At 37.8% G+C, this 24847-nt stretch overlaps 1 annotated feature.

The window, feature by feature from the left end:
• Nucleotides 1-24847: part of a centromere (Linear centromere model derived predominantly from reads generated in PMID: 17803354. This region does not represent an actual centromere sequence, as long-range ordering of repeats and unmapped WGS contigs is not provided by the model. For details of model production, see http://arxiv.org/abs/1307.0035.) that runs on past both edges of the window.

Consider the following 24847-nt stretch of genomic DNA (forward strand, 5'->3'; position numbering starts at 1 on the left):
CATTGGAAACGGGATTTCTTCATATAAACCTTGACAGAAGAATTCCCAGAAACTTCTCTGTGGTGTGTGCATTTAACTCTCAGAGTTCAACCTTCCTTTTGATAGAAGAGTGTTGAAGTATTCTTTCTGTAGAATTTCCAAGTGAATATTTAGAGCGGTTTCAGGCCTATGTAGAAGAGAAACTATCTTCACAGAAGAACTAGACATAATTGTTCTCTGAAGCTACTTTGTGAGGTGCGCCTTCAGCGGACAGAGTTTAACCTTTCTTTGGATAGAGCGGTTTTAAGCACTCTTTCTGTGGAATTTGCAATTCTATATTTAGAGTGCTTTCAGGCCTGTGGTACAAAAGGGAATGCCTTCACATAAAATCTAGACAGACGCATTGTCGGGAACTACTTTGTGATACCTGCCTTCAACTCTCAGATTTGAATATTCGTCTTGACGGAGCAGTTTTGAAAAACTCTTTTTGTTGAATCTCCAAGTGGATATTTGGACCTCTTTGTGGCCTTCGTTTGAAACGTGACTGCTTCATACAAAAGTAGACAGAAGAATTCTCATAAACTTCTTCGTGATGTGTGCTTTCAACTCGCAGCGTTGAAGCTTCCTTTCGATAGAGCAGTTTAGTAACTCTCTTTTTGTAGAATTTCCAAGTGGATATTTAGCGCCGTTTGAGGCCTATGGTGGAAAAGGCAATATCTTCATAGAAAAACTAGACAGAATGATTCTCAGAAACTACTTTGTGATGTGTGCCTTCAACTCACAGAGTTTAACCTTTCTTTTGATAGAGCAGTTTTAAAAAACACTTTTTGTAGAATCTGCAAGTGTATATTGGGACTTTTCTGAGGCCATCTTTGGAAACGGGATTTCTTCCTATAAAACTTGAAAGAAGAATCCTCAGAAAATTATTTGTGATATGTGCATTTAACTCATGGAGTTGAGACTTCCTTTCGATAGAAGAGTTTTGAAATACTCTTTTTGCAGAATTTCCAAGTGGATTTTTACAGCGGTTTGAAGTCTATGGCAGAAAAAGAAATATCTTCACAGAAAAACTAGGCAGATTCATTCTCCGAAGCTGTTTTGTGATGCTTGCATTCAGCTGACGGAGTTTAAACTTCCTTTGATAGAGCAGTTTTGAAACACTCTTTTTGTGGAATTTGCAAGTGTCTCTTTAGAGCGTTTTGAGGCCTACAGTAGGAAAGGAAATATCTTCACCTAAAAACTAGACAGAAGTATTGTCAGAAACTTATTTGTGATATTTGCATTCAACGCACGGAGTTGAACATTCCTCTTGATGGAGCCGTTTTGAAGCACTCTTTATGTGGAATCTGCAAGTGGATATTTGGACCTCTTTGTGGCCTTCGTGTGAAACTTGCTTTCTTCATTTACAACTAGACAGAAGAATTCTCAGAAACTTCTTTGTGATGTGTACTTTCAACTTACAGAGTTGAAGCTTCCTTTCAATAGAGCACTTTTGAAACTCAGTTTCTGTAGAATTTCCAGGTGGATATTTAGCGCCGTTTGAGGCCTATGGTGGAAAAGGCAATATCTTCGTAGAAAAACTAGACAGAATGATTCTCAGAAACAACTTTGTGATGTGTGCGTTCAACTCACGGAGTTTAACCTTTCTTTTGATAGACCAGTTATGAAACACTCTTTTTGTAGAATCTGCAAGTAAATATTTGGACTTTTTTGAGGCCTTCATTGGAAACGGGATCTCTTCATATAAACCTTGACAGAAGAATTCCCAGAAACTTCTCTGTGATGTGTGCATTTAACTCTCAGAGTTCAACCTTCATTTTGATAGAAGAGTGTTGAAGTATTCTTTCTGTAGAATTTCCAAGTGAATATTTAGAGCGGATTCAGGCCTAAGTAGAAGAGAAAATATCGTCACAGAAAAACTAGACATAATTGTTCTCTGAAGCTACTTTGTGATGTGCGCATTCAGCTTACAGAGTTTAACCTTTCTTTGGGTCGAGCGGTTTTAAACACTCTTTTTGTGGAATTTGCAATTCTATATTTAGAGTGCTTTCAGGCCTGTGGTACAAAAGGGAATGTCCTCACATAAAATCTAGACAGAAGCATTGTCGGAAACGACTTGGTGATACCTGCCTTCAACTCTCAGAGTTGAATATTCCTCTTGATGGAGCAGTTTTGAAAAACTCTTTTTGTTGAATCTCCACGTGGGTATTTGGACCTCTTTGTGGCCTTCGTTTGAAACGTGACTGCTTCATACAAAAGTAGACAGAAGAATTCTCATAAACTTCTTCGTGATGTGTGCTTTCAACTCGCAGCGTTGAAGCTTCCTTTCGATAGAGCACTTTTGTGACTCTCTTTTTGTAGAATTTCCATGTGGATATTTGGCGCAGTTTGAGGCTTATGGTGGAAAAGGCAATATCTTCCTAGAAAAACTAGACAGAATGATTCTCAGAAACTACATTGTGATGTGTGCCTTCAACTCACAGAGTTTAACCTTTCTTTTGATAGAGCAGTTTTGAAAAACTCTTTTTGTAGAATCTGCAAGTGTATATTGGGACTTTTCTGAGGCCATCTTTGGAAACGGGATTTCTTCGTATAAAACTTGAAGGAAGAATCCTCAGAAAATTATTTGAGATATGTGCATTTAACTCATGGAGTTGAAACTTCCTTTCGATAGAAGCGTTTTGAAATACTCTTTTTGTAGTATTTCCAAGTGGATTTTTACAGCGGTTTGAGGTCTATGGCGGAAAAAGGAATATCTTCACAGAAAAACTAGGCAGATTCATTCTCCGAAGCTGTTTTGTGATGCTTGCATTAAGCTGACAGAGTTTAAACTTCCTTTGCTAGAGCAGTTTGGAAACACTCTTTATGTGGAATTTGCAAGTGTATATTTAGAGCGTTTTGAGGCCTACAGTAGGAAAGGAAATATCTTCACATAAAAACTAGACAGAAGTATTGTCAGAAACTTATTTGTGATATTTGCATTCAACGGACGGAGTTGAACATTCCTCTTGATGGAGCCGTTTTGAGGCACTCTTTTTGTGGAATCTGCAAGTGGGTATTTGGACCTCTTTGTGGCCTTCGTGGGAAACGTGATTTCTTCATTTACAACTAGACAGAAGAATTCTCAGAAACTTCTTTGTGATGTGTACTTTCAACTCACAGAGTTGAAGCTTCCTTTCAATAGAGCACTTTTGAAACTCAGTTTCTGTAGAATTTCCAGGTGGATATTTAGCGCCGTTTGAGGCCTATGGTGGAAAAGGCAATATCTTCGTAGAAAAACTAGACAGAACGATTCTCAGAAACTACTTTGTGACGTGTTGGTTCACCTCACTGAGTTTAACCTTTCTTTTGATAGACCAGTTACGAAACACTCTTTTTGTAGAATCTGCAAGTAAATATTTGGACTTTTTTGAGGCCTTCATTGGAAACGGGATTTCTTCATAGAAACCTTGACAGAAGAATTCTCAGAAACTTCTCTGTGATGTGTGCGTTTAACTCTCAGAGTTCAACCTTCCTTTTGATAGAAGAGTGTTGAAATATTCTTTTTGCAGAATTTCCAATTGAATATTTAGAGCGGTCTCAGGCCTATGTGGAAGAGAAACTATCTTCACGGAAAAACTAGACATAATTGTTCTCTGAAGCTACTCTGTGATGTGCGCATTCAGCTGACAGAATTTAACCTTTCTTAGGATAGAGCGGTTTTAAACCCTCTTTTTGTGGAATTTGCAATTCTGTATTTAGAGTGCTTTCAGGCCTGTGGTACAAAAGGGAATGTCTTCACATAAAATCTAGACAGAAGCATTGTCGGAAACTATTTTGTGAAACCTGCCTTCAACTCTCAGAGTTGAATATTCCTCTTGATGGAGCAGTTTTGAAAAACTCTTTTTGTTGAATCTCTAAGTGGATATTTGGACCTCTTTGTGGCCTTCGTTTGAAACGCGACTGCTTCATACAAAACTGGACAGAAGAATTCTCATAAACTTCTTCGTGATGTGTGCTTTCAACTGGCAGCGTTGAAGCTTCCTTTCGATAGAGCAGTTTTCTAACTCTCTTTTTGTAAAATTTCCCGGTGGATATTTAGCGCCTTTTGAGGCCCATGGTGGAAAAGGCAATATCTTCATAGAAAAACTAGACCGAATGATTCTCAGAAACTACTTTGTGATGTGTGCCTTCAACTCACAGAGTTTAACCTTTCTTTTGATAGAGCAGTTTTGAAAAACTCTTTTTGTAGAATCTGCAAGTGTATATTGGGACTTTTCTGAGGCTATCTTTGGAAACGGGATTTCTTCATATAAAACTTGAAAGAAGAATCCTCAGAAAATTATTTGTGATATGTGCATTTAACTCATGGAGCTGAAACTTCCTTTCGATAGAAGAGCTTTGAAATACTCTTTTTGTAGAATTTCCAAGTGGATTTTTACAGCGGTTTGAGGTCTATGGCAGAAAAAGTAATATCTTCACAGAAAAACTAGGCAGATTCATTCTCCGAAGCTGTTTTGTGATGCTTGCATTAAGCGGACAGAGTTTAAACTTCCTTTGATAGAGCAGTTTGGAAACACTCTTTTTGTGGAATTTGCAAGTGTATATTTAGAGCGTTTTGAGGCCTACAGTAGGAAAGGAAATATCTTCACATAAAAACTACACAGAAGTATTGTCAGAAACTTACTTGTGATATTTGCATTCAACACACAGAGTTGAACATTCCTCTTGATGGAGCAGTTTTGAAACACTCTTTTTGCAGAATCTGCAGGTGGATATTTGGACCTCTTTGTGGCCTTCGTTTGAAACGTGATTTCTTCATTTACAACTAGACAGAAGAATTCTCAGAAACTTCTTTGTGATGTGTACTTTCAACTCACAGAGTTGAAGCTTCCTTTCATTAGAGCACTTTTGAAACTCAGTTTCTGTAGAATTTCCAGGTGGATATTTAGCGCCGTTTGAGGCCTATGGTGGAAAAGGCAATATCTTCGTAGAAAAACTAGACAGAATGATTCTCAGAAACTAAATTGTGATGTGTGGGTTCAACTCACTGAGTTTAACCTTTCTTTTGATAGACCAGTTATGAAACACTCTTTTTGAAGAATCTGCAAGTAAATATTTGGACTTTTTTGAGGCCTTCATTGGAAACGGGATTTCTTCATAGAAACCTTGACAGAAAAATTCCCAGAAACTTCTCTGTGATGTGTGCATTTAACTCTCAGAGTTCAACCTTCCTTTTGATAGAAGAGGGTTGAAATATTCTTTTTGTAGAATTTCCAAGTGAATATTTAGAGCGGTTTCAGGCCTAAGTAGAAGAGAAAATATCTTCACAGAAAAACTAGACATAATTGTTCTCTGAAGCTGCTCTGTGATGTGCGCATTCAGCTGACAGAGTTTAACCTTTCTTTGGATAGAGCGGTTTTAAACACTCTTTTTTTTGGAATTTGCAATTGTATACTTAGAGTGCTTTCAGGCCTGTGGTACAAAAGGGAATGTCTTCACATAAAATCTAGACAGAAGCGTTGTCGGAAACTACTTTGTGATACCTGCCCTCAACTCTCAGAGTTGAATATTCCTCTTGACGGAGCAGTTTTGAAAAACTCTTTTTGTTGAATCTCCAAGTGGATATTTGGACCTCTTTGTGGCCTTCGTTTGAGACGTGACTTCTTCATACAAAACTAGACAGAAGAATTCTCATAAACTTCTTCGTGATGTGTGCTTTCCACTCGCAGAGTTGAAGCTTCCTTTCGATAGAGCAGTCTTGTAACTCTCTTTTTGTAGAATTTCCAAGTGGATATTTAGCGCCGTTTGAGGCCTATGGTGGAGAAGGTGATATCTTCATAGAAAAACTAGACAGAATGATTCTCAGAAACTACTCTGTGATGTGTGCCTTCAACTCACAGAGTTTAACCTTCCTTTTGATAGAGCAGTTTTGAAAAACTCTTTTTGTAGAATCTGCCAGTGTATATTGGGACTTTTCTGAGGCCATCTTTGGAAACGGGATTTCTTCATATAAAATTTGAAAGAAGAATCCTCAGAAAATTATTTGTGATATGTGCGTTTAACTCATGGAGTTGAAACTTCCTTTCGATAGAAGAGTTTTGAAATACTCTTTTTGTAGAATTTCCAATTGGATTTTTACAGCGGTTTGAGGTCTATGGCAGAAAAAGGAATATCTCCACAGAAAAACTAGGCAGATTCATTCTCCGAAGCTGTTTTGTGATGCTTGCATTAAGCTGACAGAGTTTAAACTTCCTTTGATAGAGCAGTTTGGAAACACTCTTTTTGTGGAATTTGCAAGTGTATATTTAGAGCGTTTTGAGGCCTACAGTAGGAAAGGAAATATCTTCACATAAAAGCTAGACAGAAGTATTGTCAGAAACTTATTTGTGATATTTGCATTCAACGCACAGAGTTGAACATTCCTCTTGATGGAGCAGATTTGAAACCCTCTTTTTGCAGAATCTGCAGCTGGATATTTGGACCTCTTTGTGGCCTTCGTTTGAAACGTGATTTCTGCATTTACAACTAGACAGAAGAATACTCAGAAACTTCTTTGTGATGTGTACCTTCAACCCACAGAGGTGAAGCTTCCTTTCAATAGAGCACTTTTGAAACTCAGTTTTGGTAGAATTTCCAGGTGGATATTTAGCGCCGTTTGAGGCCTATGGTAGAAAAGGCAATATCTTCGTAGGAGAACTAGACAGAATGATTCTCAGAAGCTACTTTGGGATGCGTGGGTTCAACTCACTGAGTTTAACCTTTCTTTTGATAGACCAGTTATGAAACACTCTTTCTGTGGAATCGGCAAGTAAATATTTGGACTTTTTTGAGGCCTTCATTGGAAACGGGGTTTCTTCATATAAACCTTGACAGAAGAATTCTCAGAAACTTCTCTGTGATGTGTGTGTTTAACTCTCAGAGTTCAACCTTCCTTTTGATAGAAGAGTGTTGAAATATTCTTTTTGTAGAATTTCCAAGTGAATATTTAGAGCGGTTTCAGGCCTATGTAGAAGAGAAACTATCTTCACAGAAAAACTAGACATAATTGTTCTCTGAAGCTGCTCTGTGATGTGCGCATTCCGCTGACAGAGTTTAACCTTTCTTTGGATAGAGCGGTTTTCAACACTCTTTTTGTGGAATTTGCAATTCTATATTTAGAGTGCTTTCAGGCCTGTGGTACAAAAGGGAACGTCTTCAGATAAAATCAAGACAGAAGCATTGTCGGAAACTACTTTGTGATACCTGCCTTCAACTCTCAGAGTTGAATATTCCTCTTGATGGAGCAGTTTTGTAAAACTCTTTTTGTTGAATCTCCAAGTGGATATTTGGACGTCTTTGTGGCCTTCGTTTGAAACGTGACTGCTTCATACAAAAGTAGACAGAAGAATTCTCATCAACTTCTTCGCCATGTGTGCTTTCAACTCGCAGAGTTGCAGGTTCCTTTCGATAGAGCAGTTTTGTAACTCTCTTTTTGTAGAATTTCCAAGAGGATATGTAGCGCCGTTTGAGGCCTATGGTGGAAAAGGAAATATCTTCATAGAAAAACTAGACAGAATGATTCTCAGAAACTACTCTGTGATGTGTGCCTCCAACTCACAGAGTTTAACCTTCCTTTTGATAGAGCAGTTTTGAAAAACTCTTTTTGTAGAACATGCAAGTGTATATTGGGACTTTTCTGAGGCCATCTTTGGAAACGGGATTTCTTCATATAAAACTTGAAAGAAGAATCCTCAGAAAATTATTTGTGATATGTGCATTTAACTCATGGAGTTGAAACTTCCTTTCGATAGAAGAGTTTTGAAATACTCTTTTTGTAGTATTCCCAAGTGGATTTTTACAGCGGTTTGAGGTCTATGGCAGAAAAAGAAATATCTTCACAGAAAAACTAGGCAGATTCATTCTCCGAAGCTGTTTTGTGATGCTTGCATTAAGCTGACAGAGTTTAAACTTCCTTTGATAGAGCAGTTTGGAAACACTCTTTTTGTGGAATTTGCAAGTGTATATTTAGAGCCTTTTGAGGCCTACAGTAGGAAAGGAAATATCTTCACATAAAAACTAGACAGAAATATTGTCAGAAACTTATTTGTGATATTTGCATTCAACGCACAGAGTTGAACATTCCTCTTGATGGAGCAGTTTTCAAACCCTCTTTTTGCAGAATCTGCAGGTGGATATTTGGACCTCTTTGTGGCCTTCGTTTGAAACGTGATTTCTTCATTTACAACTAGACAGAAGAATTCTCAGAAACTTCTTGGTGATGTGTACCTTCAACTCACAGAGGTGAAGCTTCCTTTCAATAGAGCACTTTTGAAACTCAGTTTTGGTAGAATTTCCAGGTGGATATTTTGCGCCGTTTGAGGCCTATGGTAGAAAAGGCAATATCTTCGTAGGAGAACTAGACAGAATGATTCTCAGAAGCTACTTTGTGATGTGTGGGTTCAACTCACTGAGTTTAACCTTTCTTTTGATAGACCAGTTATGAAACACTCTTTCTGTGGAATCGGCAAGTAAATATTTGGACTTTTTTGAGGCCTTCATTGGAAACGGGGTTTCTTCATATAAACCTTGACAGAAGAATTCTCAGAAACTTCTCTGTGATGTGTGCGTTTAACTCTCAGAGTTCAACCTTCCTTTTGATAGAAGAGTGTTGAAATATTCTTTTTGTAGTATTTCCAAGTGAATATTTAGAGCGGTTTGAGGCCTATGTAGAAGAGAAACTATCTTCACAGAAAAACTAGACAGAATTGTTCTCTGAAGCTACTTTGTGATGGGCGCCTTCAGCTGACAGAGTTTAACCTTTCTTTGGATAGAGCGGTTTTAAACACTCTTATGGTGGAATTTGCAATTCTATATTTAGAGTGCTTTCAGGCCTGTGGTACAAAAGGGAATGTCTTCACATAAAATCTAGACAGAAGCGTTGTCGGAAACTACTTTGTGATACCTGCCTTCAACAATCAGAGTTGAATATTCCTCTTGACGGAGCAGTTTTGAAAAACGCTTTTTGTGGAATCTCCAAGTGGATATTTGGACCTCTTTGTGGCCTTCGTTTGAGACCTGACTTCTTCATACAAAACTAGACAGAAGAATTCTCATAAACTTCTTTGGGATGTGTGCTTGCAACTCACAGTGTTGAAGCTTCCTTTCGATAGAGCATTCTTGTAAGACTCTTTTTGTAGAATTTCCAAGTGGATATTTAGCGCCGCTTGAGGCCTATGGTGGAAAAGGCAATATCTTCATAGAAAAACTAGACAGAATGATTCTCAGAAACTAATTTGTGATGTGTGCCTTCAACTCACAGAGTTTAACCTTCCTTTTGATAGAGCAGTTTTGAAAAACTCTTTCTGTAGAATCTGCAAGTGTATAGTGGGGCTTTTCTGAGGCCATGTTTGGAAACGGGATTTCTTCATATAAAACTTGAAAGAAGATTCCTCAGAAAATTATTTGAGATATGTGCATTTAACTCATGGAGTTGAAACTTCCTTTCGACAGAAGAGTTTTCAAATACTCTTTTTGTAGAATTTCAAAGTGGATTTTCACAGCGGTTTGAGGTCTATGGCAGAAAAAGAAATATCTTCACAGAAAAACTAGGCAGATTCATTCTCCGAAGCTGTTTTGTGATGCTTGCATTAAGCTTACAGAGTTTAAACTTCCTTTGATAGAGCAGTTTGGAAACACTCTTTTTGGGGAGTTTGCAAGTGTATATTTAGAGCGTTTTGAGGCCTACAGTAGGAAAGGAAATATCTTCACATAAAAACTAGACAGAAGTATTGTCAGAAACTTATTTGTGATATTTGCATTCAACGCACAGAGTTGAACATTCCTCTTGATGGAGCAGTTTTGAAACACTCTTTTTGTAGAATCTGCAGGTGGATATTTGGACCTCTTTGTGGACTTCGTTTGAAACGTGATTTCTTCATTTACAAATAGACAGAAGAATTCTCAGAAACTTCTTTGTGATGTGTACCTTCAACTCACAGAGGTGAAGCTTCCTTTCAATAGAGCACTTTTGAAGCTCAGTTTTGGTAGAATTTCCAGGTGGATATTTAGCGCCGTTTGAGGCCTATGGTAGAAAAGGCAATATCTTCGTAGGAGAACTAGACAGAATGATTCTCAGAAGCTACTTTGTGATGTGTGGGTTCAACTCACTGAGTTTAACCTTTCTTTTGATAGACCAGTTATGAAACACTCTTTCTGTGGAATCGGCAAGTAAATATTTGGACTTTTTTGAGGCCTTCATTGGAAACGGGGTTTCTTCATATAAACCTTGACAGAAGAATTCTCAGAAACTTCTCTGTGATGTGTGTGTTTACCTCTCAGAGTTCAACCTTCCTTTTGATAGAAGAGTGTTGAAATATTCTTTTTGCAGAATTTCCAAGTGAATATTTAGAGCGGTCTCAGGCCTATGTAGAAGAGAAACTATCTTCACGGAAAAACTAGACATAATTGTTCTCTGAAGCTACTCTGTGATGTGCGCATTCAGCTGACAGAGTTTAACCTTTCTTTGGATAGAGCGGTTTTAAACCGTCTTTTTGTGGAATTTGCAATTCTATATTTAGAGTGCTTTCAGGCCTGTGGTACAAAAGGGAATGTCTTCACATAAAATCTAGACAGAAGCATTGTCGGAAACTACTTTGTGATACCTGCCTTCAACTCTCAGAGTTGAATGTTCCTCTTGATGGAGCAGTTTTGAAAAACTCTTTTTGTTGAATCTCCAAGTGGATATTTGGACCTCTTTGTGGCCTTCATTTGAGACGTGACTTCTTCATACAAAAGTAGACAGAAGAATTCTCATAAACTTCTTCGTGATGCGTGCTTTCAACTCGCAGAGTTGAAGCTTCCTTTCGATAGAGCAGTCTTGTAACTCTCTTTTTGTAGAATTTCCAAGTGGATATTTAGCGCCGTTTGAGGCCTATGGTGGAAAAGGCAATATCTTCCTAGAAAAACTAGACGGAATGATTCTCAGAAACTACTTTGTGATGTGTGCCTTCAACTCACAGAGTTTAACCTTTCTTTTGATAGAGCAGTTTTGAAAAACACTTTCTGTAGAATCTGCAAGTGTATATTGGGACTTATCTGAGGCTATCTTTGGAAACGGGATTTCTTCATATAAAACTTCAAAGAAGAATCCTCAGAAAATTATTTGTGATATGTGCATTTAACTCATGGAGCTGAAACTTCCTTTCGATAGAAGAGCTTTGAAATACTCTTTTTGTAGAATTTCCAAGTGGATTTTTACAGCGGTTTGAGGTCTATGGCAGAAAAAGAAATATCTTCACAGAAAAACTAGGCAGATTCATTCTCCGAAGCTGTTTTGTGATGCTTGCATTCAGCTGACAGAGTATAAACTTCCTTTGATAGAGCAGTTTTGAAACACTCTTTTTGCGGAATTTGCAAGTGTATATTTAGAGCGTTTTGAGGCCTACAGTACGAAAGGAAATATCTTCATCTAAAATCTAGACAGAAGTATTGTCAGAAACTTATTTGTGATATTTGCATTCAACGCACGGAGTTGAACATTCCTCTTGATGGAGCCGTTTTGAAGCACTCTTTTTGTGGAATCTGCAAGTGGATATTTGGACCTCTTTGTGGCCTTCGTGGGACACGTGATTTCTTCATTTACAACTAGACAGAAGAATTCTCAGAAACTTCTTTGTGATGTGTACCTTCAACTCACAGAGGTGAAGCTTCCTTTCAATAGAGCACTTTTGAAACTCAGTTTTGGTAGAATTTCCAGGTGGATATTTAGCGCAGTTTGAGGCCTATGGTAGAAAAGGCAATATCTTCGTAGGAGAACTAGACACAATGATTCTCAGAAGCTACTTTGTGATGTGTGGGTTCAACTCACTGAGTTTAACCTTTCTTTTGATAGACCAGTTTATGAAACACTCTTTTTGTAGAATCTGCAAGTAAATCTTTGGACTTTTTTGAGGCCTTCATTGGAAACGGGGTTTCTTCATATAAACCTTGACAGAAGAATTCTCAGAAACTTCTCTGTGATGTGTGCGTTTAACTCTCAGAGTTCAACCTTCCTTTTGATGGAAGAGTGTTGAAGTATTCTTTTTGTAGAATTTCCAAGTGAATATTTAGAGCGGTTTCAGGCCTATGTAGAAGAGAAAATATCTTCCCAGAAAGACTAGACATAATTGTTCTCTGAAGCTACTCTGAGATGTGCGCATTCAGCTGACAGAGTTTAACCTTTCGTTGGATAGAGCGGTTTTAAACCCTCTTTTTGTGGAATTTGCTATTCTATCTTTAGAGTGCTTTCAGGCCTGTGGTACAAAAGGGAATGTCTTCACATAAAATCTTGATAGAAGCATTGTCGGAAACTACTTTGTGATACCTGCCTTCAACTCTCAGAATTGAATATTCCTCTTGATGGAGCAGTTTTGTAAAACTCTTTTTGTTGAATCTCCAAGTGGATATTTGGACGTCTTTGTGGCCTTCGTTTGAAACGTGACTGCTTCATACAAAAGTAGACAGAAGAATTCTCATAAACTTCTTTGTGATGTGTGCTTCAACTCGCAGAGTTGAAGCTTCCTTTCGATAGAGCAGTTTTGTAACCCTATTTTTGTAGAATTTCCAAGTGGATATTTAGCGCCGTTTGAGGCCTATGGTGGAAAAGGCAATATCTTCATAGAAAAACTAGACAGAATGATTCTCAGAAACTACTTTGTGATGTGTGCCTTCAACTCACAGAGTTTAACCTTTCTGTTGATAGAGCAGTTTTGAAAAACTCTTTCTGTAGAATCTGCAAGTGTATATTGGGACTTTTCTGAGGCCATGTTTGGAAACGGGATTTCTTCATATAAAACTTGAAAGAAGAATCCTCAGAAAATTATTTTTGATATGTGCATTTAACTCATGGAGTTGAGACTTCCTTTCGATAGAAGAGTTTTGAAATACTCTTTTTGTAGAATTTCCAAGTGGATTTTTACAGCGGTTTGAGGTCTATGGCAGAAAAAGAAATATCTTCACAGAAAAACTAGGCAGATTCATTCTCCGAAGCTGTTTTGTGATGTTTGCATTCAGCTGACAGAGTTTAAACTTCCTTTGATAGAGCAGTTTTGAAACACTCTTTTTGTGGAATTTGCAAGTGTATATTTAGAGCGCTTTGAGGCCTACAGTAAGAAAGGAAATATCTTCACCTAAAAACTAGACAGAAGCATTGTCGGAAACCACTTTGTGATACCTGCCTTCAACTCACAGAGTTGAATATTCCTCTTGATGGAGCAGTTTTGAAAAAGTCTTTTTGTAGAATCTGCAGGTGGATATTTGGACCTCTTTGTGGCCTTCGTTTGAAACGTGATTTCTTCATTTACAACTAGACAGAGGAATTCTCAGAAACTTCTTTGTGATGTGTACCTTCAACTCACAGAGTTGAAGCTTCCTTTCAATAGAGCACTTTGAAAGTCAGTTTTTGTAGAATTTCCAGGTGGATATTTAGCGCCGTTTGAGGCCTATGGTAGAAAAGGCCATATCTTAGTAGGAAAACTAGACAGAATGATTCTCAGCAAGCTACTTTGTGATGTGTGGGTTCAACTCACTGAGTTTAACCTTTCTTTTGATAGACCAGTTATGAAACACTCTTTTTGTGGAATCGGCAAGTAAATATTTGGACTTTTTTGAGGCCTTCATTGGAAACGGCGTTTCCTCATATAAACCTTGACAGAAGAATTCTCAGAAACTTCTCTGTGATGTGTGCGTTTACCTCTCAGAGTTCAACCTTCCTTTTGATAGAAGAGTGTTGAAATATTCTTTTTGTAGAATTTCCAAGTGAATATTTAGAGCGGTCTCAGGCCTATGTGGAAGAGAAACTATCTTCACAGAAAAACTAGACATAACTGTTCTCTGAAGCTGCTCTGTGATGTGCGCATTCAGCTGACAGAGTTTAACCTTTCTTTGGATAGAGCGGTTTTCAACACTCTTTTTGTGGAATTTGCAATTCTATATTTAGAGTGCTTTCAGGCCTGTGGTACAAAAGGGAATGTCTTCACATAAAATCTAGACAGAAGCATTGTCGGGAACTACTTTGGGATACCTGCCTTCAACTCTCAGAGTTGAATATTCCTCTTGATGGAGCAGTTTTGAAAAACTCTTTTTGTTGAATCTCCAAGTGGATATTTGGACCTCTTTGTGGCCTTCGTTTGAATCGTGACTGCTTCATACAAAATAGACAGAAGAATTCTCATAAACTTCTTGGTGATGTGTGCTTTCAACTCGCAGCGTTGAAGCTTCCTTTCGATAGAGCAGTTTAGTAACTCTCTTTTTGTAGAATTTCCAAGTGGATATTTAGCGCCGTTTGAGGCCTATGGTGGAAAAGGCAATATCTTCATAGAAAAACTAGTCAGAATGATTCTCAGAAACTACTTTGTGATGTGTGCCTTCAACTCACAGAGTTTAACCTTCCTTTTGGTAGAGCAGTTTTGAAAAACGCTTTTTGTAGAATCTGCAAGTGTATATTGGGACTTTTCTGAGGCCATCTTTGGAAACGGGATTTCTTCATATAAAACTTGAAAGAAGAATCCTCAGAAAATTATTTGTGATATCTGCATTTAACTCATGGAGTTGAGATTTCCTTTCGATAGAAGAGTTTTGAAATACTCTTTTTGTAGAATTTCCAAGTGGATTTTTACAGCGGTTTGAGGTCTATGGCAGAAAAAGTAATATCTTCACAGAAAAACTAGGCAGATTCATTCTCCGAAGCTGTTTTCTGATGCTTGCATTCAGCTGACAGAGTTTAAACTTCCTTTGATAGAGCAGTTTGGAAACACTCTTTTTGTGGAATTTGCAAGTGTATATTTAGAGCGTTTTGAGGCCTACAGTAGGAAAGGAAATATCTTCACCTAAAAACTAGACAGAAGTATTGTCAGAAAATTATTTGTGATATTTGCATTCAACGCACAGAGTTGAACATTCCTCTTGATGGAGCAGATTTGAAACCCTCTTTTTGCAGAATCTGCAGCTGGATATTTGGACCTCTTTGTGGCCTTCGTTTGAAACGTGATTTCTGCATTTACAACTAGACAGAAGAATTCTCAGAAACTTCTTTGTGATGTGTACCTTCAACTCACAGAGGTGAAGCTTCCTTTCAATAGAGCACTTTTGAAGCTCAGTTTTGGTAGAATTTCCAGGTGGATATTTAGCGCCGTTTGAGGCCTATGGTAGAAAAGGCAATATCTTCGTAGGAGAACTAGACACAATGATTCTCAGAAACAACTTTGTGATGTGTGCGTTCAACTCACGGAGTTTAACCTTTCTTTTGATAGACCAGTTATGAAACACTCTTTTTGTAGAATCTGCAGGTAAATATTTGGACTTTTTTGAGGCCTTCATTGGAAACGGGATCTCTTCATATAAACCTTGAGAGAAGAATTCTCAGAAACTTCTTTGTGATGTGTGCATTTAACTCTCAGAGTTCAACCTTCCTTTTGATAGCAGAGTGTTGAAATATTCTTTTTGTAGAATTTCCAAGTGAATATTTAGAGCGGTTTCAGGCCTATGTAGAAGAGAAAATATCTTCACAGAAAAACTAGACACAATTGTTCTCTGAAGCTACTCTGTGATGTGCGCATTCAGCTGACAGAGTTTAACCTTTCTTTACATAGAGCAGTTTTAAACCCTCTTTTTGTGGAATTTGCAATTCTGTATTTAGAGTGCTTTCAGGCCTGTGGTACAAAAGGGAATGTCTTCACATAAAATCTAGACAGAAGCATTGTCGGGAACTACTTTGGGATACCTGCCTTCAACTCTCAGAGTTGAATATTCCTCTTGATGGAGCAGTATTGAAAAACTCTTTTTGTTGAATCTCCAAGTGGATATTTGGACCTCTTTGTGGCCTTCGTTTGAAACGTGACTGCTTCATACAAAAGTAGACAGAAGAATTCTCATCAACTTCTTCGCGATGTGTGCTTTCAACTCGCAGAGTTGCAGCTTCCTTTCGATAGAGCAGTTTTGTAACTCTCTTTTTGTAGAATTCCTAAGTGGATATTTAGCGCCGTTTGAGGCCTATGGTGCAAAAGGCAATATCTTCATACAAAAACTAGACAGAATGATTCTCAGAAACTAATTTGTGATGTGTGCCTTCAACTCACAGAGTTTAACCTTTGTTTTGATAGAGCAGTTTTGAAAAACTCTTTTTGTAGAATCTGCAAGTGTATATTGGGACTTTTCTGAGGCCATCTTTGGAAACGGGATTTCTTCATATAAAACTTGAAGGAAGAATCCTCAGAAAATTATTTGTGATATGTGCATTTAACTCATGGAGTTGAAACTTCCTTTCGATAGAAGAGTTTTGAAATACTCTTTTTGTAGAATTTCCAAGTGGATTTTTACAGCGGTGTGAGGTCTATTGCAGAACAAGAAATATCTTCACCGAAAAACTAGGCAGATTCATTCTCCGAAGCTGTTTTGTGATGCTTGCATTCAGCTGACAGAGTTTAAACATCCTTTGATAGAGCAGTTTGGAAACACTCTTTTTGTGGAATTTGCAAGTGTATATTTAGAGCGTTTTGAGGCCTACAGTAGGAAAGGAAATATCTTCACCTAAAAACTAGACAGAAGTATTGTCAGAAACTTATTTGTGATATTTGCATTCAACGTACAGAGTTGAACATTCCTCTTGATGGAGCCGTTTTGAAGCACTCTTTTTGTGGAATCTGCAAGTGGATATTTGGACCTCTTTGTGGCCTTCGTGGGAAACGTGATTTCTTCATTTACAACTAGACAGAAGAATTCTCAGAAACTTCTTTGTGATGTGTACCTTCAACTCACAGAGTTGAAGCTTCCTTTCAATAGAGCACTTTTGAAACTCAGTTTTTGTAGAATTTCCAGGTGGATATTTAGCGCCGTTTGAGGCCTATGGTAGAAAAGGCAATATCTTCGTAGGAAAACTAGACAGAATGATTCTCAGAAGCTACCTTGTGATGTGTGGGTTCAACTCACTGAGTTTAACCTTTCTTTTGATAGACCCGTTATGAAACACTGTTTTTGTAGAATCTGCAAGTAAATATTTGGACTTTATTGGAGGCCTTCATTGGAAACGGGGTTTCTTCATATAAACCTTGACAGAAGAATTCTCAGAAACTTCTCTGTGATGTGTGCGTTTAACTCTCAGAGTTCAACCTTCCTTTTGATAGAAGAGTGTTGAAATATTCTTTTTGTAGAATTTCCAAGTGAATATTTAGAGCGGTTTCAGGCCTATGTAGAAGAGAAACTATCTTCACAGAAAAACTCGACATAATTGTTCTCTGAAGCTGCTGTGTGATGTGCGTATTCAGCTGACAGAGTTTAACCTTTCTTTGGATAGAGCGGTTTTCAACACTCTTTTTGTGGAATTTGCAATTCTATATTTAGAGTGCTTTCAGGCCTGTGGTACAAAAGGGAATGTCTTCACATAAAATCTAGACAGAAGCATTGTCGGGAACTACTTTGGGATACCTGCCTTCAACTCTCAGAGTTGAATATTCCTCTTGATGGAGCAGTTTTGAAAAACTCTTTTTGTTGAATCTCCAAGTGGATATTTGGACCTCTTTGTGGCCTTCGTTTGAAACGTGACTGCTTCATACAAAAGTAGACAGAAGAATTCTCATAAACTTCTTCGTGATGTGTGCTTTCAACTCGCAGAGTTGAAGCTTCCTTTCGATAGAGCAGTCTTGTAAATCTCTTTTTGTAGAATTTCCAAGTGGATATTTAGCGCCGCTTGAGGCCTATGGTGGAGAAGGCGATATCTTCATAGAAAAACTAGACAGAATGATTCTCAGAAACAACTCTGTGATGTGTGCCTTCAACTCACAGAGTTTAACCTTCCTTTTGATAGAGCAGTTTTGAAAAACTCTTTTTGTAGAATCTGCAAGTGTATATTGGGACTTTTCTGAGGCCATCTTTGGAAACGGGATTTCTTCATATAAAACTTGAAAGAAGAATCCTCAGAAAATTATTTCTGATATGTGCATTTAGCTCATGGAGCTGAAACTTCCTTTCGATAGAAGAGCTTTGAAATACTCTTTTTGTAGAATTTCCAAGTGGATTTTTACAGCGGTTTGAGGTCTATGGCAGAAAAAGAAATATCTTCACAGAAAAACTAGGCAGATTCATTCTCCGAAGCTGTTTTGTGATGCTTGCATTAAGCGGACAGAGTTTAAACTTCCTTTGATAGAGCAGTTTGGAAACACTCTTTTTGTGGAATTTGCAAGTGTATCTTTAGAGCGTTTTGAGGCCTACAGTAGGAAAGGAAATATCTTCACATAAAAACTACACAGAAGTATTGTCAGAAACTTATTTGTGATATTTGCATTCAACGCACAGAGTTGAACATTCCTCTTGATGGAGCAGTTTTGAAACCCTCTTTTTGCAGAATCTGCAGGTGGATATTTGGACCTCTTTTTGGCCATCGTTTGAAACGTGATTTCTTCATTTACAACTAGACAGAAGAATTCTCAGAAACTTCTTTGTGATGTGTACCTTCAACTCACAGAGGTGAAGCTTCCTTTCAATAGAGCACTTTTGAAGCTCAGTTTTGGTAGAATTTCCAGGTGGATATTTAGCGCCGTTTGAGGCCTATGGTAGAAAAGGCAATATCTTCGTAGGAGAACTAGACACAATGATTCTCAGAAGCTACTTTGTGATGTGTGGGTTCAACTCACTGAGTTTAACCTTTCTTTTGATAGACCAGTTATGAAACACTCTTTCTGTGGAATCGGCAAGTAAATATTTGGACTTTTTTGAGGCCTTCATTGGAAACGGGCTTTCTTCATATAAACCTTGACAGAAGAATTCTCAGAAACTTCTCTGTGATGTGTGCGTTTAACTCTCAGAGTTCAACCTTCCTTTTGATAGAAGAGTGTTGAAATATTCTTTTTGTAGAATTTCCAAGTGAATATTTAGAGCGGTTTCAGGCCTATGTAGAAGAGAAACTATCTTCACAGAAAAACTAGACATAATTGTTCTCTGAAGCTACTCTGTGATGTGCGCATTCAGCTGACAGAGTTTAACCTTTCTTTGGATAGAGTGCTTTTAAACACTCTTTTTGTGGAATTTGCAATTCTATATTTAGAGTGCTTTCAGGCCTGTCGTACAAAAGGGAATGTCTTCACATAAAATCTAGACAGAAGCATTGTCGGAAACGACTTGGTGATACCTGCCTTCAACTCTCAGAGTTGAATATTCCTCTTGATGCAGCAGTTTTGAAAAACTCTTTTTGTTGAATCTCCACGTGGGTATTTGGACCTCTTTGTGGCCTTCGTTTGAAACGTGACTGCTTCATACAAAAGTAGACAGAAGAATTCTCATAAACTTCTTCGTGATGTGTGCTTTCAACTCGCAGCGTTGAAGCTTCCTTTCGATAGAGCAGTTTTGTGACTCTCTTTTTGTAGAATTTCCAAGTGGATATTTGGCGCCGTTTGAGGCTTATGGTGGAAAATGCAATATCTTCCTAGAAAAACTAGACAGAATGATTCTCAGAAACTACTTTGTGATGTGTGCCTTCAACTCACAGAGTTTAACCTTTCTTTTGATAGAGCAGTTTTGAAAAACTCTTTTTGTAGAATCTGCAAGTGTATATTGGGACTTTTCTGAGGCCATCTTTGGAAACGGGATTTCTTCATATAAAACTTGAAAGAAGAATCCTCAGAAAATTATTTGTGATATGTGCATTTAACTCATGGAGTTGAAACTTCCTTTCGATAGAAGAGTTTTGACATACTCTTTTTCTAGAATTTCCAAGTGGATTTTCACAGCGGTTTGAGGTCTATGGCAGAAAAAGAAATATCTTCACAGAGAAACTAGGCAGATTCATTCTCCGAAGCTGTTTTGTGATGCTTGCATTCAGCTTACAGAGTTTAAACTTCCTTTGATAGAGCAGTTTTGAAAACCTCTTTTTGTGGAATTTGCAAGTGTCTCTTTAGAGCGTTTTGAGGCCTACAGTAGGAAAGGAAATATCTTCACATAAAAACTAGACGGAAGTATTGTCAGAAACTTATTTGTGATATTTGCATTCAACGCACAGAGTTGAACATTCCTCTTGATGGAGCAGATTTGAAACCCTCTTTTTGCAGAATCTGCAGCTGGATATTTGGACCTCTTTGTGGCCTTCGTTTGAAACGTGATTTCTGCATTTACAACTAGACAGAAGAATTCTCAGAAACTTCTTTGTGATGTGTACTTTCAACTCACAGAGTTGAAGCTTCCTTTCAATAGAGCACTTTTGAAACTCAGTTTCTGTAGAATTTCCAGGTGGATATTTAGCGCCGTTTGAGGCCTATGGTGGAAAAGGCAATATCTTCGTAGAAAAACTAGACAGAATGATTCTCAGAATCTACTTTGTGATGTGTGGGTTCAACTCACTGAGTTTCACCTTTCTTTTGATAGACCAGTTATGAAACACTCTTTTTGTGGTATCTGCAAGTAAATATTTGGACTTTTTTGAGGCCTTCATTGGAAACGGGGTTTCTTCATACAAACCTTTACAGAAGAATTCCCAGAAACTTCTTTGTGATGTGTGCATTTAACTCTCAGAGTTCAACCTTCCTTTTGACAGAAGAGTGTTGAAATATTCTTTTTCTAGAGTTTCCAAGTGAATATTTAGAGCGGTTTCAGGCCTATGTAGAAGAGAAAATATCTTCACAGAGAAACTAGACATAATTGTTCTCTGAAGCTACTCTGTGATGTGCGCATTCAGCTGACAGAGTTTAACCTTTCTTTGGATAGAGCGGTTTTCAACACTCTTTTTGTGGAATTTGCAATTCTATATTTAGAGTGCTTTCAGGCCTGTGGTACAAAAGGGAATGTCTTCACATAAAATCTAGACAGAAGCATTGTCGGTAACTACTTTGTGATACATGGCTTCAACACTCAGAGTTGAATATTCCTCTTGAAGGAGCAGTTTTGAAAAACACTTTTTGTTGAATCTCCAAGTGGATATTTGGTCCTCTTTGTGGCCTTCGTTTGAAACGTGACTGCTTCATACAAAAGTAGACAGAAGAATTCTCATCAAATTCTTCGTGATGTGTGCTTTCAACTCGCAGCGTTGAAGCTTCCTTTCGATAGAGCAGTTCTGTAACTCTCTTTTTGTAGAATTTCCAAGTGGATATTTAGCGCCGTTTGAGGCCAATGGTGGAAAAGGCAATATCTTCATAGAAAAACTAGACAGAATGATTCTCAGAAACTACTTTGTGACGTGTGCCTTCAACTCACAGAGTTTAACCTTCCTTTTGGTAGAGCAGTTTTGAAAAACTCTTTTTGTAGAATCTGCAAGTGTATATTGGGACTTTTCTGAGGCCATCTTTGGAAACGGGATTTCTTCATATAAAACTTGAAAGAAGAATGCTCAGAGAATTATTTGTGATATGTGCATTTAACTCATGGAGTTGAAACTTCCTTTCGATAGAAGAGCTTTGAAATACTCTTTTTGTAGAATTTCCAAGTGGATTTTTACAGCGGTTTGAGGTCTATGGCAGAAAAAGAAATATCTTCACAGAAAAACTAGGCAGATTCATTCTCCAAAGCTGTTTTGTGATGCTTGCATTAAGCGGACAGAGTTTAAACTTCCTTTGAGAGAGCAGTTTGGAAACACTCTTTTTGTGGAATTTGCAAGTGTATATTTAGAGCGTTTTGAGGCCTACAGTAGGAAAGGAAATATCTTCACATAAAAACTACACAGAAGTATTCTCAGAAACTTCCTTGTGATATTTGCATTCAACGCACAGAGTTGAACATTCCTCTTGATGGAGCAGTTTTGAAACACTCTTTTTGTAGAATCTGCAGGTGGATATTTGGACCTCTTTGTGGCCTTCTTTTGAAACGTGATTTCTTCATTTACAACTAGACAGAAGAATTCTCAGAAACTTCTTTGTGATGAGTACCTTCAACTCACAGAAGTGAAGCTTCCTTTCAATAGAGCACTTTTGAAGCTCAGTTTTGGTAGAATTTAAAGGTGGATATTTAGCGCCGTTTGAGGCCTATGGTAGAAAAGGCAATATCTTCGTAGGAGAACTAGACAGAATGATTCTCAGAAACTACTTTGTGATGTGTGGGTTCAACTCACTGAGTTTAACCTTTCTTTTGATAGACCAGTTTATGAAACACTCTTTGTGTAGAATCTGCAAGTAAATATTTGGACTTTTTTGAGGCCTTCATTGGAAACGGGATTTCTTCATAGAAACCTTGACAGAAGAATTCTCAGAAACTTCTTTGTGATGTGTGCATTTAACTCTCAGAGTTCAACCTTCCTTTTGATAGAAGAGTGTTGAAATATTCTTTTTGTAGAATTTCCAGGTGAATATTTAGAGCGGTTTCAGGCCTATGTAGAAGAGAAAATATCTTCACAGGAAAACTAGACACAATTGTTCTCTGAAGCTACTTTGTGATGTGCGCCTTCAGCTGACAGAGTTGAACCTTTCTTTGGATAGAGCGGTTTTAAACACTCTTTTTGTGGAATTTGCAATTCTATATTTAGAGTGCTTTCAGGCCTGTGGTACAAAAGGGAATGTCTTCACATAAAATCGAGACAGAAGCGTTGTCGGAAACTACTTTGTGATACCTGCCTTCAACTCTCTGAGTTGAATATTCCTCTTGACGGAGCGGTTTTGAAAAACTGTTTTTGTTGAATCTCCAAGTGGATATTTGGACCTCTTTGTGGCCTTCGTTTGAGACGTGACTTCTTCCTACAAAACTAGACAGAAGAATTCTCATCAACTACTTCGCGATGTGTGCTTTCAACTCGCAGAGTTGCAGCTTTCTTTCGATAGAGCAGTTTTGTAACTCTCTTTTTGTAGAATTCCCAAGTGGATATTTAGCGCCGTTTGAGGCCTATGGTGCAAAAGGCAATATCTTCATACAAAAACTAGACAGAATGATTCTCAGAAACTACTTTGTGATGTGTGCCTTCAACTCACAGAGTTTAACCTTCCTTTTGGTAGAGCAGTTTTGAAAAACGCTTTTTGTAGAATCTGCAAGTGTATATTGGGACTTTTCTGAGGCCATCTTTGGAAACGGGATTTCTTCATATAAAACTTGAAAGAAGAATCCTCAGAAAATTATTTGTGATATGTGCATTTAACTCATGGAGTTGAAACTTCCTTTCGATAGAAGAGCTTTGAAATACTCTTTTTGTAGAATTTCCAAGTGGATTTTTACAGCGGTTTGAGGTCTATGGCAGGAAAAGAAATATCTTCACAGAAAAACTAGGCAGATTCATTCTCCGAAGCTGTTTTGTGATGCTTGCATTAAGCGGACAGAGTTTAAACCTCCTTTGATAGAGCAGTTTGGAAACACTCTTTTTGTGGAATTTGCAAGTGTGTATTTAGAGCGTTTTGAGGCCTACAGTAGGAAAGGAAATATCTTCACATAAAAACTACACAGAAGTATTCTCAGAAACTTACTTGTGATATTTGCATTCAACGCACAGAGTTGAACATTCCTCTTGATGGAGCAGTTTTGAAACACTCTTTTTGTAGAATCTGAAGGTGGATATTTGGACCTCTTTGTGGCCTTCTTTTGAAACGTGATTTCTTCATTTACAACTAGACAGAAGAATTCTCAGAAACTTCTTTTTGATGTGTACCTTCAACTCACAGAGGTGAAGCTTCCTTTCAATAGAGCAGTTTTGAAGCTCAGTTTTGGTAGTATTTCCAGGTGGATATTTAGCGCCGTTTGAGGCCTATGGTAGAAAAGGCAATATCTTCGTAGGAGAACTAGACACAATGATTCTCAGAAGCTACTTTGTGATGTGTGGGTTCAACTCACTGAGTTTAACCTTTCTTTTGATAGACCAGTTATGAAACACTCTTTCTGTGGAATCGGCAAGTAAATATTTGGACTTTTTTGAGGCCTTCATTGGAAACGGGCTTTCTTCATATAAACCTTGACAGAAGAATTCCCAGAAACTTCTCTGTGGTGTGTGCATTTAACTCTCAGAGTTCAACCTTCCTTTTGATAGAAGATTGTTATAGTATTCTTTCTGTAGAATTTCCAAGTGAATATTTAGAGCGGTTTCAGGCCTATGTAGAAGAGAAACTATCTTCACAGAAAAACTAGACATAATTGTTCTCTGAAGCTACTCTGTGATGTGCGCATTCAGCTGACAGAGTTTAACCTTTCTTTGGATAGGCGGTTTTAAACTCTCTTTTTGTGGAATTTGCAATTCTATACTTAGAGTGCTTTCAGTCCTGTGGTACAAAAGGGAATGTCTTCACATAAAATCTAGACAGAAGCATTGTTGGGAACTACTTTGTGATACCTGCCTTCAACTCTCAGAGTTGAATATTCCTCTTGATGGAGCAGTTTTGTAAATCTCTTTTTGATGAATCTCCAAGTGGATATTTGGACCTCTTTGTGGCCTTCGTTTGATACGTGACTGCTTCATACAAAAGTAGACAGAAGAATTCTCATAAACTTCGTCGTGATGCGTGCTTTCAACTCGCAGAGTTGAAGCTTCCTTTCGATAGAGCAGTCTTGTAACTCTCTTTTTGTAGAATTTCCAAGTGGATATTTAGCGCCATTTGAGGCCTATGGTGGAAAAGGCGATATCTCCCTAGAAAAACTAGACGGAGTGATTCTCAGAAACTACTGTGTGATGTGTGCCTTCAACTCACAGAGTTTAACATTTCTTTTGATAGAGCAGTTTCGAAAAACTCTTTTTGTAGAATCTGCAAGTGTATATTGGGACTTTTCTGAGGCCATCCTTGGAAACGGGATTTCTTCATATAAAACTTGAAAGAAGAATCCTCAGAAAATTATTTGTGGTATGTGCATTTAACTCACGGAGTTGAAACTTCCTTTCGATAGAAGAGTTTTGACATACTCTTTTTGTAGGATTTCCAAGTGGATTTTCACAGCGGTTTGAGGTCTATGGCAGAAAAAGAAATATCTTCACAGAAAAACTAGGCAGATT

This window comes from Homo sapiens, chromosome 3 (genome assembly GCF_000001405.40).
Source record: "Homo sapiens chromosome 3, GRCh38.p14 Primary Assembly".
Lineage (NCBI taxonomy): Eukaryota > Metazoa > Chordata > Mammalia > Primates > Hominidae > Homo > Homo sapiens.